This window comes from Homo sapiens, chromosome 7 (genome assembly GCF_000001405.40).
Source record: "Homo sapiens chromosome 7, GRCh38.p14 Primary Assembly".
Taxonomy (NCBI): Eukaryota; Metazoa; Chordata; class Mammalia; order Primates; family Hominidae; genus Homo; species Homo sapiens.
In genome coordinates this window covers 87,360,251-87,380,680 of record NC_000007.14, presented here as the reverse complement: position 1 = coordinate 87,380,680, position 20,430 = coordinate 87,360,251, and the positions used below count along the sequence as shown (strand labels likewise).

The 20,430-nt window shown below is 36.5% G+C and overlaps 2 protein-coding genes across 14 annotated transcripts in view; one reads left to right on the top strand and one right to left on the bottom strand.

The window, feature by feature from the left end:
- The window catches only part of ABCB4 (ATP binding cassette subfamily B member 4), a 110,132-nt gene extending 95,347 nt beyond the window's left edge, over positions 1-14,785 (top strand). For 10 of the 11 annotated variants that reach the window (XR_007060047.1, XR_007060046.1, XR_007060050.1 and 7 more), the window contains one exon: positions 1,845-6,203. The gene's annotated coding sequence lies outside the window, so the exon portion shown is untranslated. Of the gene's footprint in view, positions 1-1,844; positions 6,204-11,928 lie in introns of those variants that run through there. The other variant, XR_007060054.1, reaches the window with a different exon arrangement.
- The window catches only part of CROT (carnitine O-octanoyltransferase), a 54,131-nt gene that overhangs the window by 19,114 nt on the left and 14,587 nt on the right, over positions 1-20,430 (bottom strand). For all 3 annotated transcript variants that reach the window (NM_001143935.2, NM_021151.4, XM_011516337.4), the window contains 6 exons: positions 19,110-19,291; positions 18,829-18,953; positions 11,197-11,305; positions 4,956-5,049; positions 4,728-4,853; positions 3,231-3,332 (listed from right to left, as the gene is read on the bottom strand). In NM_001143935.2, coding sequence (NP_001137407.1) covers positions 3,231-3,332; positions 4,728-4,853; positions 4,956-5,049; positions 11,197-11,305; positions 18,829-18,953; positions 19,110-19,291 — 738 coding nt within the window. The remainder of the gene's footprint in view (positions 1-3,230; positions 3,333-4,727; positions 4,854-4,955; positions 5,050-11,196; positions 11,306-18,828; positions 18,954-19,109; positions 19,292-20,430) is intronic.

The window sequence follows — 20,430 nt, the reverse complement described above, 5'->3', positions numbered from 1 at the left end:
TCAAAGAAGGTAGAAAATATATAAAATTCCAATGCTATCCTGATGCTTTATTTGTTCACATAATTTTTACCTTTCATTTCTTGCACTTACACAGAGGCAATATGTATTTACATAGTGTTTAAGAATGTAGGCTTTGGTTCTGAGTTCAAACTACTTCCTAGCTGGGCAATAGTAAAAAAGTTACTTTGCTTTCTAATTAAACTGCCTCATTTCCCTGTAGAGATAATGCATACATACATACAGATGCTGTGAAAAATGATTTTTATACCACTTACACAGTACTTACCAAGGATCTAGCTCACAGCAATAATTAGTAACTATTGTTATTATTAACTAAAGTTTTTACATGCTTCCTATGCACCCTCTGCAAAGCCTTACAATAAAGCCTACAATATAGAGAAGACAATATAGTTGACTTCAGGTTTATAAAATAGGAGGGAAATGGAATTAATATAATCACAAAAGAACATATTCAAACAATTAAAATTATGGACCAGCAACATGGCTTTAGGGTAAAATAAGCTTTATTTTACAGTACATATGCTTATTTTTCTTCTTATTATTATTTTTGGGACAGGGTCTTGTTCTGTTGCCTGGGTGGGAGTGCAGTGGTACAACCATGGCTCACTGCAACCTGGACCTCCTAGGCTCAAGTGATCCTCCCACCTCAGCCTCCCAAGTAGTTGGGAGTATAGGTATGCATTACCATGCCCAACTAATTTTTTATTTTTTGTAGAGATGAGGGTCTCACTATGTTGCCCAAGCTGGTGCTGAACTGCTGGAATCAAATCCTCCCACCTTCGTCTCCCAAAGTGCTGGGATTATAGGCATGAGCTCCCATGTTTGGCCTACAGCATATGTATTTCACTAATGATGATTTACAAAGGTTAAACTGCACCCTCTATAATCATCTTAGGTTAGAAGGGAAACCTCCATGGAATTTAATGCAAATTATCAGGTGGAGATAATCAGATCAATTTTATGAATATATGCATGTTAATGCACACACATAAAACATGTCCGCACACTATAAAAAAGCAGTTCAGTTATGCTGAGAGATATGCTCATTATGAGCCCAATATTCTTTATTCAGAGACAGACAAGATTATCAAAATTATTTTCATCTTGAATTTGTGTGAACAGCAGGATACTGGTGCTATTAGTAAAAATCAGTTTAGCAAAAGGTGTTTTTTGATGGTCTTGGGGATGAGGGACGGAAAGCAAGATGAGTTATTCTTGATGAGATTGACTTACTCTTATATAACAATATAACATCCAATTTGAACAATTTAACATATAATGAAACACAACTCTCAAATGAGAATAATAGGTAAAAGCTAGAAAAGTATAGCTGCAAGTTACATATATAACAATAGGTCAATAAAGTGGTCAGAGGGGGAAAAGTGTGATGAATATTAAGGTCAGTTTCAGAATCAGTAGAGAGGAAAATACTGTTAAGAGGAAAGAGGCAGTGTCAAAATATGTATGCAGAGGGTAACCAACTGCAGCAGACAGGTCAAAGGGAAATGAAGGGAAGAAGCCAGGGGGCAGTTAACCACCTTACAAAGGGTAGTTTGCAAGGAATGGTAAGGACATAAACCAGACTGAGGAAGGTCAAGGAGAATCAAATGAGGAGCTGAAGAGAAGAAAACTGAGGCAATTAACAAGAACTATTCTGTCAACAGTAGACTCAAAGGAAGAGTAAAGAGAACATCTTCAAAATAAATGACTTGTGGCAACTTTTCACTGTAGCTCTGATGAGATACTCCAATAGACATTTACTTTCAGTGCCTATTAACCAATCCACCTTGTTCTGAAATAACAGCTACTTTACTGTTCTTTAGGCAACCAAGCACCACTTTGTAGTGGTTTGAATGAGACTGATTCTACCCACTAGATTCCAAGGTTGGGCATGTGACCCAGGCCAAGCTCATCCAAGCACCTGATTCCCCAGGATGGGGACATGAATCACACAGGCCAATCACAACTGATGAGGATTATTCCAGGACTTTTGCTGTAACCATTGGAAACAAAGAAGCTGACTATTTCCTTTGGGAGTCTATGAAGAAAGCTATGAAGATATGAGACTGTTGGTACAACAATCACATTGGGCAGTCTACCTAAATATGAGGCCAAACAAAAGAAAGCAGTACCAAAAAATGGGGAGAGATTTCTAATGAAAGCATTTGAACATTGAAGTCAGCTTTACCCAAATTTAGCTAACTCCTTGCCAACAAATATCTTCTTACGCTAACGCTAGTTTGATTTAGGTTTCTATCACCTAAACCTGAATATGGATTAATACAACTACTGAACCCTTTTTTTTTTTTTTTTGGAGTCGGAGTCTCAGTCTGTTTCCCAGGCTGAAGTGCACTGGCCCAAACACTGTTCACTGCACCCTCAACCTCCCAGGTTCAAGCGATCCTCCTAGACCTCAGCCTCCCAAGTAGCTGGGATCACAGGCGCACAACACCATGTGAGGCTAATTTTTGTATTTTTTGTAGAGACGGGGTTTCATGCCATTGCCCAGACCAGTCTCCATCTCCTGGGCTCAAGTGATTCACCTGCCTTGGCCTCCCAAAGTGCTGGGATTACAGGTATCAGCCATCATACCCAGCCCCAAACCCCTTTATAAAAAATTTTCTTGGTTCATAGACCTCCTGAATGCCTATCAGACAGTTAGTAGACAGCTAGTGAAGATGTCCATGGGAGGGGAACAGAGGAGAAGCAAGAAAAGTTGTTCATTTTTTATGAAAATGGTCAAAATGGTAGTAACTGCCATTTTAATATCCACAGCCTAAATAGTGTTCCAAAGATTATGTGTCATTTTAGGAAAATAGTTACCTAGTTACTAGGTGAATCTTGAACTCTATAAATATATCCATATGCATTGCTCTGCATAGAACACATACATAATGCCATATAATACCTTTTGAAATAGGTATTCTCAGCAAGCAGATAATACTGGGTTTTAAGAGCTTATATTACATAAATATTATATGCAAATCCCATTTTGCAGATATAGTACACAACAAACTGTTGGCCTTACTACAGAAGAAAATAACTTGTCCTATACTTTCAATGAGAATTCATAACTAAACTTTTCACCACAGTGCCATAAAACTAAATTACTATTCACTTACACTGTTCCCCAGCACAAGTATTTATGGTTTATTGTCATTAATTTAACCTAAAAGATCAAAAGAGAAAAATTTCAGTAGTTTACTTACATCACAATTACAGCCAAATACTCCATTAGAAAAGGAAATCAAGTTATAGGATTTGTCACCCCAGCGTACTGTTGGATCTCCAATAAGGATGGCTGCAATAATCTAAAATAAATTTAATTTTTCCAAATTAAAAGGGTTTAATATTGGTTTGTAAGAATTTACATCTTAAACACATATATCATCTCACCATTCCTCTTCACGTCAACCAAATTTAATAAAATCATAATATAGTTATGATCAGCAACACTGATATGTGATATGCAAAGTCAAGAGAGAGTAATTCTGGCCCTGACTTTAGGGGCTTCTCAAAATCTCAAGTTAAGAAAATCCTACCAGAAAAGAAAATGCTGGTACAATATTCATGAATGTTTACAGAACATAGAATTGAGAGGATAAGGGTTTTGTAACTTGAATAGGATAAAAGATCTTGATAAAAGTTTAGTCATTAAAGTCTAGTTAGGAGGAAATATTTTAAGAATTCGTTTCCTACTAAACCTGTTTTTCAAACTGTATACTTTGGCCTATTAATGGATCATGAAATTAACTCAGTGCATCATAATCAATATTCCTTACAAAAAAGGAGAATAAAATAGACTGGAAATATCAGTGTACCTCACAGACAATAAAAGTAATTAGTGCTCTGTGAAACTCCTATTTTATATATGTGTTTGCATGCATATACACATGTATATATAGTGGGCTGCAATCTAAATGTATTTGTAACTAAAAATTGTGGTCAAAAAACTTTGAACAACACTGCATTAAAATACATTCTTCCTTAAAAAGAAGTCTGGTGATTCTCAAAAAAAAAAAAAAATCTCTCTCCTTGCTACAAGGTTTTCCAATCCTTGATATTTTTTCCTATTATTTAATACCGATTAATTCACTATAAAATAATTAAGTATTTTCAAAAGACTATGAGATTTCTAATACAATTACTATCTTTTATTATTTCCTGGGACACAAATGTCACCCTGGGGGTGGCAGGGGAGCATAAAATAAGGCCATATTTACCCTTAACGTCACTGACATCAATGTGTTCAGCAATTAACCAAATGATAAAATAAATGACTTACAAGGGTGACATAATTCTTAGGAGACACAGTCCCAACTATGGTGTCAAGATACACTAGTGCAGGTTATGATTAGGTTATCATTTCACCTTTGGCAAGAAAAGCTCATTAACCTAGTGCTCTGTGTAAATTTTCTGAGTAGGCAAGCAATGAAAAGGTTGAGCAACACTGATATGTGATATGCAAAGTCATACTTCTTTAAACAAAGTATAATATATAGCTAAACAAACTTAAACAATGTGGCAAGGATTTACCAATTTACTATCTACTTTATAAGCTTCAATTTGGCACAAGTATATTGTATAACTAAGAAAAAGTTTCAAGAGCCTAAAGGTAGAAAAAGAAAAAAAACTTCCATGTTCAATAAATATGAGTCTTCCAGAAAAATCTGCAATAAAAAAAAAAAGAGAAGGTAGTTAAGTACCTCAGAATAATCCTCTGGTGTTACATGTGGACTGCTATCCTCCATGGAATATACCAGTAAACTACTCTGAATTTTTTCTAACAAAGCCAAGTTCTCTGGATCAAGACCAATCAGATATTCTCGTGCCTAAAGGGCAAGGAGATGATGATCAAATATTACAACTGAAATACAATACATCAAAAGAGTTTGTTAGAGAAAAGCTTCGTTAAGAAAAGTGTAAATCAGAACCTTAGCCCATCGAGTTCGCTCCTCACTAGTTAATGCTGCAATCCCAGGTCCATCAGGTTCACTATGGCACTTCTTGTGGATATATGTCAGTTGTCTTATGGAAGATGAAAAGAAGATTAAAAAAGAGTACAGGCAGAAAGTAACTACTTTGGCCTTTAAAAGGTCATAACATTGATCAATATTTAAATGTTTGGATATATTACCCAAAGAAACCACTTATGATGCCAATAGATTTCCTACATCACATATTTTTTTAAGTGATTGTGTTCTATTAACACCAAAAGCATATTTGACAATAATTTAATTTCAGTAAATAAATTTAGTTATTGGCTAAATTTAGTTTCGCTGATATATACTTTGGAAATGTGCATGCACTTCTAGGTTGCAAGTAAATATCCTTTTTACTGTAAATATCCTTACAATGGAGAACTTGAAAAATATCCTGGTAATCAATTTCACAAATATAATGTACATCTTATCTAACTAAAATCTATGTGCGTATATATTTAACCAGAGGACTTACTGTATACTCAATTAATATTTGTGTTTTACCAAAAAAAAATAGAAATACCATATAATCAGTTTTAACTATTTTCATATGTGCCACTTTGTTACTTCTAATCATTATATTTTTAAAGACTCTATTAGCTAAGGATAAACTACTCCCCCTCCACAGTATTTTATGCTCCTAGATTGGTGAATTTCATGTATCTTTAAACATACAGCAGATAAATAACTGGGTTCTCCCATAAAGAAATTTACATCAGTCAAAAATCCACAGAGCTTTAATTTAGCTCAATTTCATGGCACATGTTAAGAAATTACTTCAATTTAAAAGCTTTCAAGGATTTCTCAGGAAGTGAGCTAATGTAGCTTAATAAATGGTCAAAAAATGCTACTAGTAGCCATCAGTTCTGACTTCATCATTCAAAATTGGAATTCATCATTTATCTACTGATTTGCATACTCTCCTCTGTTTGTTCATTATATCTGTAACACTGATAAAGAAATACATTTCTTGCTGAAAAATTCCCCCCTTGTTATTTGCAAATTAATGGTGTCCTGAGGAACAGAATAAGGGTTTCTTCACCAATCTGCATCTATAGCAGAGCAACTTGCTTTGCCTCTCTTCCTGCTTACTTTCTTTAGTAACTACTGATTTTGCTCCAATTATAAGTAAAGCTTTTGCAGTTGTGGTTACTAGCATAAACTCTGAATTTCTAAATAAAATCAACCTGTTTCTCTCCATATGGTACTTGTTGCTACCTTTCCCTTACCAACTACCTCAAAGCACGAGTTTTGACTATGAAACTTTTACTTCCTCCCTGAAATGATCATTTTCATGTTCGTTTTACAAGGTGGTCATTATTAGGGAGAAATTACAAAGGAAAGTGTGTTAAACCTGAAATGACATTTTAAGTTTGATAATAAAAGGTCACATAACTGCCCAAATCGCCACCATTAAGAGATACAGATTTGGTAACAAGATAATCCCTCTTTTCCTTTAACTTGGCTAACTATGCACCTGTTTTTCAGCTACACATCTAATTTTTTATATTTCAAAGCACAAAGATTTGTATTAAAAATATCTGCATTACAGAATCATATATTTTTTTAAATATTCTATAACCCACACAGTCTGGCTTCTGCTTCATCGCTTTCCATTCACTCTTTAATTTACTGTCCTCGATTTTTGTTCTCCAGTGATTATCTTGAAAGTCACCAATAATGTCCCATTAAGGAAACCTAGTAGCTTTATTTAAGTCTAATTTTCCTCATTATAGAATGTTTGACACTCAGGTATGAATGTTAAAATTATCTTCTTACTTGATTTTTTCACATGGTCCCATTGTCGTCTCCATACGTCACTGAAGTCTTTTTCATTGACCATTTGTTCTCCTTACACTGCTGAATGTGTCTTTTCCCAAATTTCTGTCACTGGCCTTTCCAAGCTCCTCTTATAAGTTTCTCCCTTGGTAATCTCGTCTACTTCTTTAATAGTTTCAATGATCACCTTTATGTAAGAGGCAACCAACTCTCTAACTTCAACACCATTTTTTCTCTCAATCTCTGTTACCAAAGTTCCAAAAGCTTGTTGGATATCTCTACTTCGATTCCTGCCAACATTTCCAACTAAATGTATATTTAAACATTATCTCCCCCTTCCCACAATTTTTTTTAAAAAGATCTTAAAAGATAATATATGTGTAAATCTTCATGTCCTCAGATTAGGCAATGGTTTCTTAGATACAATTCCAAAAGCACATGTAACAACAAAAAAAGAGATAAAATTGGATTTTGTCAAAACGAAAAATATTGTGCATCAAAAGAGGCCATCAAGAAAGTGAAAAGCCAAGCCTAGGAGATATAATTTGCAAATTATATATCTGTAAAAAGACTTATATCTAAAGAACGATTACAATTCAATAATAAAAAAACAAACTAATTTAAAAATTGGCCAAGTATCTGATTAGACATCTCTCCAAGGAAGATATATACAAATGGCCAAAATGCATGTGAAAAAATCTTTAACATCATTATCAAATATAAACTACAACGAGATCCCACTTTACCCTTACTAGCATCGCTACAATAAAAAAGGCAGACAATAAGTGTTGGTGAAGATGTGGAGAAACTGGAACCCTAATATACTGCGCCATTTTGGAAAACTCTCTGGTAGTTTCTCAATAGTTAAACATAGAATTACCATATGACCTGGCAATTCTACCCCTAAAATATACCCAAGAGAAATGAAAACATATGTTTACATGAAAACCTGTATACAATAGTCACGGCAGCATTATGAATAATTTACTATTTGTCTATTATTCATAATAGACAAAAAGTAGAAACAACTCAAATGTCCATCAACTGATGAATAGTTAATAAAATGTGGCATATCTGTAAAATAGAATGTTATTCAGCAATAAAAAGGAATAAAGTATTCATACATGCTAAAACACGGATGAACCTTGAAAACATTATGCTAAGTGAAAGAAGCTACACACAAAAGGCTACATGTTGTAAGATGCCATTCCTATATTAATAAAATGTATAAAATAGGCACATTTATAGAGGCAGAAAGTAGATTGGTAGTTGTCAGAACTTTTGGGTTTTTTTAAGGCAAAAACAGAAATCCAGATGTTTATGTAAATTTTCCTGATTTTTAAATAGTGATTCAAATTCTGCTATCCAAGCAAAATAGGTCACAGGCTGAATGCAGCCCATGAAGCACATGTGTTTAATTTCTGGAAGAGTGGCTTTGAATAATCCAATTAATAAGCCTGATCTAATAATTATATGTCAAATTTAAAACACACTAACTAAAACATGTAATGGGAAGACACACAAATATTATCCAAGATACAAAAGCAAATGATTAAAAAGATAAATTTGCCTAAATCAAAATTAAGATTGGACAATTTCCAAAATTTGTTTCAAGTTAACTGGAAGAAAATGTTTGCAACACACATAATGTATAAAAGATTAATGTAGAGACTATATAAATAATTGCTATAAATCAATAAGGATAAAGTAAAATAGCCAACAGAAAAATAGGCAAAAGTAACTCACAGAAAACACAAATAAATGGCATATAAACCATATAAAAATGCTCAACCTCACTTGTAATGAGGGATATGCCAATTCGAACAACAATGAAAACCATTTTTCACCTGTCAGTTGACTAGATATAGCTTTTTTTTGTTTTTTTTTTTTTGTTTTTTTTTTTTTGAGACAGCGTCTTGCTCTGTCACCCAGGCTGGAGTGCAGTGGCGTAATCACAGCTCACTGCAGCCTCGACCTCCTGGGCTCAAGTGATCCTCCCACCCCAGCCTTCCAAGTAGCTGGGAGCACTCCCAAGTAGCACTATCATGTCCAGCTAATTTTTTAACTTTTTATAGAGACAGGGTCCCCCTATGTTGCCCAGGCTGGTCTTCAACTCTTGGCCTTAAGTGATCCTCCAGCCTCAGCCTCCCAAAATGTTGCAATTACAGGCATGAGCCACTGTGTCCCCCACTCACCAGATATGTTTTAAGTTTAATAGTACCATGTCAACAATGATTAGGAGAAGTGGGTGTCCTCACATAATACTGGCAGAAAAAACAATGCCACTGTGGATGACAATTTGACTCAGTCAAAAATTTTAAATGTATACATCAGATGATGTGAACATTTCACTTCTAATATCAAACCATAGATATTTTATCCAAATACAAAAAGGGGCATGTTTGAAAATGTTAATTATTTGTTATAGCAACAAATGGAAACAACTTTAATGTCATATCATAAAGAAATGGTCACATCAACTATAATATATCCATTTGATGGAATTCTATGTAATAGTTTAAAAGAATAAGGTAGATGTATTTGTACCAATATGGAAAGATTACATTTATTGTTGATTAAAAGAAGCTAACTATAAAAATAACACTATTTTTTAAATGTGCAACTACCCCATGCCTCATGTCAAACAAAAAAATCAATTAACTCTAGGAAGACTATAAATACAAACGTAAAAGTCAACACAAAATTCTAGAACATAGGAAATTATCTTCTTGGCACTGAGTTAGGGAAAAATTTTTTAAAACAGAACACAAAATGTATAATCTGTATGGTAAAGATTAAAAGATTAATAAACTGGAGTTCATTCAATTAAGAACTTCTGTTCATCAGGAAGATGTGTTTAATAGAACAAAAGATCAATTATAAACATCTTCTACTCTGTGTATTGCAACACACACAACCAAGTAAGAACTCTTACCCAGAATGTAAGGAACTCCTACAACATTCACACACTAGTAGACATAACTACTTTGGAAAACTGGCATTATCTATTGAAGCTGAACATACACATATCCTATGACTCAGCAAATTCTCTCCTGGGTGTGCTCCAGACAGAAATACATGCATGTGTACACCAAAAGACTTACACAAGGATTTTCACAGCAGCCTTTTTCAAATAATAATGCAAACTGTAAACAACCTAAATGACTGCCCCTGGGAAGGAGTGAAAGTCTGGAAGAGGGATGACGGGAATCTTTGGAGTATTAGAAATGTTCTAATTTTTGACCTGGGTGCAGGTTACATGAATATTTAGTTGTACATTTCTGTGTGCAGTTTTGTACATGTTTGCAATATTTAATAAAACTAATTTAAGTTATAAATAGATATATATACCCAACAATTAGAAAACAATTAGAACAACTGATTCTCTGTTAATGATATTAAAACACTGTTTATTTGGCTGGGTGTGGTGGCTCATGCCTGTAATCCCAGCACTTTGGGAGGCCAAGGCAGGCGGATTATTTAAGGCCAGGAGTTCAAGACCAGCTTGGCCAACACGGCAAAACCTCATCCCTACTAAAAATACAATAATTAGCTGGCCATGGTGGTGCGCACCTATAATCCTAGCTACTTGGGAGGCTGAGGCAGAAGAATCACTTGAACCTGGAATGTGGAGGGTGCAGTGAGCCGAGATTGTGCCTCTGCACTCCAGCCTGGACACAAAGCAAGACTCTGTCTCAAAAAAAAAATTATTTTTTAGAAGTCATTAGGTATGATAATGGTACTAAATGTGTATTTTAAGAGTCCTTCTATTTTAGAGATGTATACTGAAATATCTATAGTGAAAGGATATTATGTCAGATTATCTTCAAAATAATCCATGGGAAAGTGAGGGAAAAGGTAAAAGAGGTATAGTTGAAACAGCATTGACTATGAGTTTATAACTGTTGATGCTAGGAGTTGGTAACTGTTGAAGTTAGGAGATGGGTACACGGGAGTTATCATTATATAATCCCCTATACATTTTGAAATTTTCTGTAATATACTTTAAAACATATACATAGAAGATGTATACCATATATATGTATATACATATATAATACATATTATATATTATATATATTTTTTAAGCTAGGTATACATGTAAATTCATTGCAACAGGTATGGAACAATGGAACACACTAAACTAGTAAGAGTGATTAATTCTGGGGCAGGGAATGGAATTGGTAATATATGTAATGTTTTCCTTTTCTCCAAGTGAACATATTTATATATGTCTAGTAAAATTTAAAAATAATTTAAATAAAAAATACAAATAGATTTTTTTTTAAAAAAGCATGCATAAAATTCTTATTTTTCAGCTTACTATCACCTTGAAAGGCAATTCTAAACATGTATATTTTAATTCAAGCAACACCATAAGACCTAATGAAACTCAAGAAAGTAGTCTGAAAACCTGAGAAGCTCTGGCGGGGTGACCAAACATCCTTCATGTATTACATCAAAGACAAAAGCTCGGCCTCGACACAGCACTACAATGTGGTTTGGGGAACGCCCTTCACTCTCTGGAAACAGAAACAGAAAACACAAGACTCAAATCTAAGGTTAAACAGGAGTAAAGATGCATATATCCAATAGAAGAAAAGTAGGCATTCTTCCAGTATTTTATTTATCATATAGTCATCAAATATATCACATAACAAAAATAATGTATTAATGGAATTGCAGTTACTATGATATAAATACATACTCCTGACACTTGTTCCATGTGAGACATCTAGAAATCAATGAGTTTCAAATACCCTGAAAACCACATAAATCCCAAACTACTACAGACCTTTCTAATTTTACTTAGGAACAGAAATGGGAAGGGGAGAAGGAGACCAGTGGAATCTTGGAGGACAGCCATTTGAATTAACAGGTTTCTCTTTTGGATTATTTTAATGTTAATTACTCATCAGATAATTTAATTGCAGTAATATCTAGCTATGATAACTCAATAAAATAATTTTCAGTAGAAAAGGATACAGTATGCCAGTGGCAAAGGAAAAGAATTTTGTCCAGTCTGGTAACACCTGGTAAGCCACTGACAATGGATTATCTCTGATTTCTTTGGCACACCTTAACTCCCCAAGAACTGTTTGTTTGCTGTAAACCTCAGACTATTCTGATATAACCCCATCTTTAGGTACTTGTCCTTTTGCCAAGGATCTTCTTATGTGATCCCTGCCCCTACCTTCTAAGAAAAGAAAATGGAAAAAGAGGAAGAAAGAGAAGACATACACTGCCGCTTGAAGGAAATATAGTGGTGGGTATTATTTACGGGTCAGTATTAAGTGCTTTACATACATTATCTTATGAAATCTTTTCATCAACTATGAGGAAGAACAGTCTCCTGATAAAAATACTCTTTTTTCTCTTATACCTTATTTCCTCAAGACCTAGGGGATGAGATATGTGTTTTCCTTGTTCCTCATGGCTACCTCCAAACCATTTCTTCTTTCTTCCCCTTCAAAAACCTCCAGATCCTTTTACCTCTACGACCACCACTCTTTTATTGCTGTCATCTCCTGACCACACCCCTTTCAAAGTTTAGGGCTGGAAAAGAAAAAAGAAAATAAACCTGATGCCAAATTAATCAATAAATGGTTGGAAAGGGTGAGGGTGGCAGAAGGGTGCTACCTCACAATAAACCTGGCGGATATTTGAGCAGAAAACTGAATGGAGTGAGAAAGTACGCCATGTAAATACCCGCAGAAGTGTTTCAGGCAGAGGAAACAGCAAGCACAAAGGCATTAGAATAAACATGAGTTGATCTGCTTAAAGGAAAACAAGGTCAGTGCAGCTGCGGCACAGAGAAAAGGATAGAGTGGTAGATAAGGTTGAGACCCGATTATACTGGCCTCAGAAAGTGGTTTCCAGTATGATGGGAAGGAAACCAATGGATGGTTTTAAGCAAGGGAGTGATAATGTGGTCTCACTAAAAAGATCCCTCCAGCTGTTACATGGAGAACAGATTACAAGGGTGAAGAGAAGGTATGCCAAGTTAGGAGGTGACTAAAGTTGTCCAGGTGAGAACAATCTAAGAGAGATAGGATGATGGCTTCGACTGGGGCCTGATACTTGAAGGAGACATGAGGTGAATTGTTTTCCTTTTAAGATGGAAGATATTACAGACTGGAACAATCAAGTAAAGAAAAAAACTGATAAGCAGCAGAGAGAGAGGATAATGCAAAAGCAAGTTTCTTGACTAAGCAAGAGGAAGCGGGACTCAGCACAGATATAGAAGAGTTGTCCTTAGGAGTCAGAGGAGTTCATCTGTATTTTAAAAAGAAAAGAAAAGTATATGAATTTGCAGTAACATATTGCAAGGGGGTAGAGAATGGGCAAATATTTGAATCAGTATATTTTCACTGGTTGCAAAAACAAATTACTACTGACTTGGTAGCTTAAAACAACACAAATTTATTATCTTACAGGTCTAAGGACCAGAAATCTGAAATGTGTCTTACTGGGCTAAAATGAAGGTGCCATCAGGGCTGTGTTCCTTCTAGAGGCTCTAGAAGAAAATTGGTTTCCTTCCTTTTTCCAGCTTTTAGAGGCTATCCACATTCCTTGGGCTCATGAACCCCTTCTTCCATCTTCAAAGCCATCAAGGGAAGATCATAACCTTCTCATACTTCCATCTCTTTGGTTCTCTCCTTTGCCTCCCTCTTCCATGAATAAGGACCCTTGTGATTATATACTTTGGGCACATGTGAATAATCTAGGATAACGTCCCCATTTCAAGGTCAACTGACTAGCAACCTTAATTCCTCTTTACCATGTAACCTAACATATTAACAATTTCAGGGATTAGAAAGTAGACATCTATGGGGGACCATTATTCTGCCCATCACTGAAAGGCTGGTAAATGTCATGATGGGAAGATTGCTCATATCTGTTGTGAAAAACAAGAGTTTGTTAGCTAACAAGAAGGAGAGCGAAAGGCATAAAACAGTCTTCTCTGGAAGTGAAAGAATAAGCTAACCAAGGAAGATAGCACCGTAGTGCTGGGGGCCAACTTGAGATTTAACTGAGATCATTAAGTAAGTTTTATGGTTTTCTCTGGCCAAGTAAATTGCTAGAGTAGGTATCTTTGATATGTAGAGAAAAGACAAATTAAATTTTAAACGATGTTTAGGTTTTACCACATCAGTACTGGGGAGAGGTAGCAAAGATTTGAATGTGTATGCCTGGGAGTAATGATGGTGAAGAACCAGAAAGAAGTGAAGACGGGGAAGTAGGAATGGAGCCATGAAGAGAGCAGTAGCATCATTAAACTGTAAATCACAATGTGGCCAAAGGAACAGCTGAGTTGGAGTACTGAAAGATGTAGTTTCCTAGAGCTATAAACTGAAGGAAATGAGAGCCTATGGATCGTCTACAATTGAAAGCTAAAATCATCAAGAATATGACTGAGGTAGTAATGGAAAGAAAGACAGGCACTGGAGCTAAAGCAATCAATAGATGAAGGGGAATGGGCAGGAGGAAAGTCACTGCAACAATGTAGTGGTGATATAACCTGAAGGCATTTTTTTTTCCCCAAAAAGGCTAAAATTGTTAAGGACGAAGGGAAAACAGAAAGGGCAGAGGGAAACAAAAAGGATACCAACACCTCCCACAGGCCCTGTAGTGCTATATAAAAGAAAAAAAAAATTCCCCCTTGCGAGGGTACAGGGGAAGTAGTAAGCTTAATGAATAATCAAGCTTTAGTAACATCTTTTAGAGAAAAGGTTGAGGATATAATGGATTTTGCTGATCGTGAGCTCCAGAAAGTACAGCAGAAGGGTTTGGGGAAGTCGTGAGGGTAGATCAGAGCAATGGGAAATTTGGATCAAATTAGACCATGCACAAATCCGTGAATCCAGCTGACAAGGGATAACATGAACAGTCTGGGCTTTTTGTGTAAATGTGGTAAACAGGGATGAAAGGTATGACTGAATTAGTCTTAATGGTCTCCTAGGGGGTAGGTAAAAACAAATAAATAAACAACAGGCCAGGTGCTGTGGCTCACACGTGTAATCCCAACACTTTGGGGGCTGAGGCGGGCAGATTGCTTGAGCTCAGGAGTTCGAGACCAGCCTGGGCAACATGGCAAAACTCGGTCTCTACAAAAAATACAAAAATTAGCCAGGTGTGGTGGCATGTGCCTGGTCCCAGCTACTCAGGAGGCTGAAGTGGGAGGACTGTTAGAGCCCAGGAGGTCGAGGTTGCAGTGAGCTGTGATCACACCACAGCATTCCACCCTAGGTGACAGACCAAAAAAAAAAAAAAAAGACAAACAAAAAACAAAAAACTAGTTTTAATTATAGCCTCCTTATTGAGACTAACCTCAGTGGCTTAAATTCTGCCCATCCCATCAACACACATCATTTTTTCAATTTTCTCTCCCTCTCTTTTTTTTTTTTTGAGATGGAGTCTCACTCTGCCGCCCAGGCCGGAGTGCAGTGGCATGATCTCGGCTCACTGCAACCTCCCACTCATGAGCTCAAGTGATTCTCCTGCCTCAGCTTCCCGCGTAGCTGGGATTACAGGCGCGAGCCACTGTGCCCAGCTAAATTTTTGTATTTTTAGTAGAGATGGGGTTTCACCATGTTGGCCAGGCTGGTCTCAAATTCCTGACCTCAGGTGATCTGCCCACCTAGGCCTCCCAAAGTGCTGGGATTACAGGCATGAGCCACCAGGCCTGGCCCAATTTTCACTTTACACATGATAGATTCAATGGCCCCAAATTATTTCTCCCTTACAAAAACTTTAATCCTTCAGCCCCTCTTCCTTTGCACCTGCCCCTCCTGCCCCTCACTGATGCTGAAGAAAAAAACACAGCATGTCATCTCGTCTAATTTTAAATGCATGAACACACATCTCAAATGGGCACTCAGCAGTGTTCAGTAACTCCATTATTTCCACAGCATGTTTGTTTTTTCCACTTTCCAAAAAGACTATTTCAAACCTCCTTTCTCCTCAAATCATCCACCCCAGTGGATGACCTCAGTTCTTATTTCACTAAAAACATAAGCAATAAAAAGTACCTCCTCATCTTCCTACAACAAAACTGGCCAATCTGTTTGCTTCTAGATTCACACTTTCTGCATTCCCTCCTAATTGCCTCTCTTCTTTGATCCTGTCAAAGACCAACCCCTCCACCTTTCTGCTCTTGATCCTCTTGGCTTTTACCTTCTCAATGACTTTGGCTCCTTATCTTCTCCCCTGCAAGATTATTTTTCCTCCTCTCCTGTAACAATGCCTATGATGTAATATCACAATCTTTAAAAAATTATTTTTGATCTCCCAGTGCACATCAAAACTTTTCTTGCAAGCATTATTTCCAAATGTTACCACCACTTCATCAATCTGCTTTCATCTCTTCCAGCTGGGGTTCCCTCTTCAACTTTCATTAAAACTGCTCTTGTCAAGGGCAACCTCTGTCCACATCATGTTTACATATCCAATGGTCACATTTTTACCTCATTTGACTTCTCAGAAGCATTAAACACTTCCTTCTCTTGGCCTCTGGGAGACCACTGTCCTTGTTTTCTTCCTACTTCCCTTGGTCTCCTTTGCTGGCTCCTCCTCCTCTGATTGGAAAATACAGTATTGAACCTGTGATAAGGATCAGCACTGATCATCTTTACATATGTCCCAAAAGTAACCTTGGCTACTGTTATGGATTTACAGTTGCTTTCTATGCCTGGTAGTGATGACTCCTAAGTCTGTAATTTGCAGTCCTGAGCTATTCCCAAAACTACAAATCTTGAATCCAACTGCCTATGTACATTTCCACTTAGATGTCTAAAAGGCATCTTAAATTCAAGACGGTTTAAAGACCACTTGCTTCTCCTCCCTAAATCATCTCCTCCCAATATTTCCCACCTCATGAATCTACCTACGTACCCACCTACCCTGTTAGCTGCTCAAGCCAAATATGTTGAAGTAATCTGATTCCTATTTTTCTCTTATATCTTACAACCAATATATGAATATTCCTGCTAACCCAAAATCCAAAATACATCCAGAGTATAACTTCTCACCACTCCAATGCCATAATCCTAGTACAAGCCATTATCATGACTTACTTGGAATACAAGAACAACTTTCTAATTGACCTCCCTGCTTATAAACTTGTCTCACCTCTAAAAGTCTATTCTTCAAACAGTAGGTAGAATGATCTTTTTTAAAGCATAAATCTGGTCACATCATTCTTTTTATCAAAACTCACTAATAGTTTCTGTTCACATTTTAAACGCAAGCCAAAAACCTTACCTTGTTTTATAAAGTACTATATGATCTACCTTCTAGTCACCTTTCCAATCTGGCCATCCAGCTCCCTCCTGTGTACTCTGCTCCATCCATACTGCCCTTTGAACCTGCCAAGTTTATTCCTGCCCAGAGCATTCTGCCCTCAACACACACAAAAAGTAACAACAACAACAAAAGTGAACTAAACAAAAGAAAGCCAAAAAACTCTGCAGGTTCATCTTATCATTCAGATCCTTGGAGAGGCCTTCCCTGACTATCTAATATAAAATTGCCATGTAGTTACTAATCTTATTTGAACTCTCTGTATATTATTTGCCATGAATTCTGATTTTTTCATGTCTACCTCACACTTTATCCCTATCTCTACATGTCTTCACATGTAAGCCCCAAAATATAATAACTATGTCAGCTTCAATCACCATATCAAGAGATGCATTATTAATGAATCCCCATTTTACAAACTATAACCCAAAAGAGTTACCTTATCTAAGGATATACCTACTAAGCGATAAAGACAATTCAAAAGCAGGTCTATTGATATTAGTTCTTAACTGATATGCATATTTTCTCTTTTTGCTATTGCTCTTCTTACATTAATTTTATCTTGTTCATTTTTTCCATTCATATTTGCACATTAAACTTTAGACCATGAATAACTCAGTTTCCCTAATCTTTTAATTGTTTCACTGGTAACATCAAGGTAAATATATGTGGGCTTGAGGACATTAAATATCTCAAGCATGTAAAGAAGTTTACAAAGAAGAGTTGAGTTCTACATGAAAGTAAGCTCATACCCCTCATACTATGAGCATGATTGGCTATAAATATTTTACTTTTAAATAACATTTTATGTAAGAAAAAAATCCATTCACAATTATACTCTTCAGTAAGTGTAAACTGTGAAAAAAACAGTTACCACAGCAGAATTTTCCATTTCAAGATAAGCTAGGACACCAAGCAGAAACTGCCATTAAACTGCCAGTTTAAAAAAAAAAATTGATGAGTCAATCTGAACTCATGTGTCTCTAAGAAGAGTGACTCCAAGCCGGGCATGGTGGCCCATGCCTGTAATCTCAGCACTTCTGGAGGCTGAGGCGGACAGACTGCTTGAGCCCAGGAGTTTGAGACTAGCCTGGGCATCATGGTGAAACTCCATCTCTACAAAAAATACACAATTAGCCAGGTATGGCAGTGCCTGCCTATAGTCCCAGCCACTCAGGAGGCTGAGGCAGGAAGACCACTTGTGCCCAGGAGGTGGAGGTTGCAGTGAGCTGAGGTCGCAACCTGGGCAACAGAGTGAGACCCTGTCTCAAACAAAAAAAAAAAAAAAAAAAGGAAGAGTGACTCCAGGCTTTTACCTCATATAAGGTGGAGGGACAAGCAGACTCACAGGGAGACTGTGGCATGATAAGCACATATAAGTAAACACTCAAAAAGACAATTCAGGTAATAAAAAATGAGGGTAGAAAGAGAAGCATCCAGATCATATGTTTCATGTTTCAGGATTTTCTTAATACTCTGATTCTACTCTTCAAGTAAACTTTAAACTTTCAAATGATGAAATATAAGCATCAGGTTTGTGTTGAACCATGTAAGATACATTTAGAAAATCCGTTCCCATAAATTACATCTAATCAGAATGATTCAAATATAAGGCTCACAGAAAACCTTTCTTTGTCAAAGTCCCAACAGTAATATTCTTCAAAAGTGTATGTTCCATCACGTCATAGTAGGCTACCCAAATTCCAGTGCCTTTACTAAAAACGATATCTGCATTTTTACTTACCAGTCCTAAAATAATTCATAATGGAGTCTCTAGTAATTCCTGGAACCTTGCAGGTAGAAAATAGCATTCGGAATTGATTCATATCTAGAGGAGTATTTCCAACTTTATGAACAGGCACTTTTTCTCTATTAAAAAAAGGATTTTGATCAAAAAGTCATTATAAAATTTAAAAACCAGCCACAACTGAAGTGTTCATCCCCAAATAAGTAAATTAAGCTTCTCAACATTTTGCTACCTGAGACTTCAGGTAAGCCTGTCACTAAATTCACATGTGTCCTTACTTTCTTAATAGCTGCCAGTAGTTCAAGTTATGCCAAAGAGTTATACTTCCTCTTTCTAATTGAGTCCCTTCCTTTGGAGGCCAGTAGTGTTCAAAATGAGCTGCAGGACCCGCAAAGTTGACATTCAATTGTGATGGTATACGAACATCCAGATAGGCAACATTCAGCCACCACTCTTCCAGCTAAAAGAAATTGAGAACATCAGCTTAATGTTCTTCATAATACATGAATGTGTAACTACTGGGAATTTTAAAAAGCAAGCTATATTTGTTCTTTAATTATTCTTCAACATTTAAAAACATGTTTTTTGGCTGGGTGAGGTGACTCACACCTATAATCCCAGCACTTTGGGAGGCCAAGGTGGGAGGATCACTTGAGTCCAGGACCTAGAGGCCAGCCTGGGCAACATAGAAAGACCCTGTCTCTACAAAAAAAAAAAAAATTAATTAGCTGGGCCTGCATGTAGTCTTAGCTACTCAAGAGGCTGAGGCAGGAGGACCACCTGAGCCCAGGAGTTCAAGGCTGCAGTGAGCTATGATTGCACCACTGCACTCCAGCCTTGGTGACAGAGAAAGACCCTGTCTCAAAAATAAATAAATAAAAACATGTTTTCTTGTTTTAAATCATCATAGATATTGAGAAATGTTATTGTGATAATTTCTTTTCAGCGGGGAGCTATAGGATCTTAGGTATTATTTGTTTTAACTACACTATCAAAAACGAGTATCAAGAAAGCACCAAAAGATACCTTCAGAAATATCATTGTATTGTAGTCACAAGTATGCAATAAAGTACATAGGTGTTTCTTCAGAGTACTTGGGGCATAATAGATAATCAATAAATCCTTACCTAATAATAACAGTTATTAAGGCATTAACAATTTTCCTTTTCCAAACAAAAACTGCAATACTAAATCAGAAATATAAAAACTGGCTGGGCATAGTGGCTCACACCTGTAATCCCAGCACTTTGGGAGGCGGAGGCAGGCAGATCACTTGAGGCCAGGAATTTGAGACCAGCCTGGCCAACATGGCAAAACCCTATCTCTACAAAAAATACAAAAATCAGTTGGGTGTGGTGGTGCGCACCTGCAATTCCAGGTGCATGGGAGACTGAGGCATGAGAATAGCTTGAACCCAGGAGGCAGAGGTTGCAGTGAGCCGAGACTGCACCACTGCACTTAAGCCTGGGCAACAGAGCAAGACTCTGTCTCCAAAAAATAAATAAATAAAACAAATAAATAAAAGTTTTCAGTAGGCTTCAAAGTAATTTAGATTTTTCACAGACACTGTTTTCTATGTGTCCCTCTTTCACAATATGC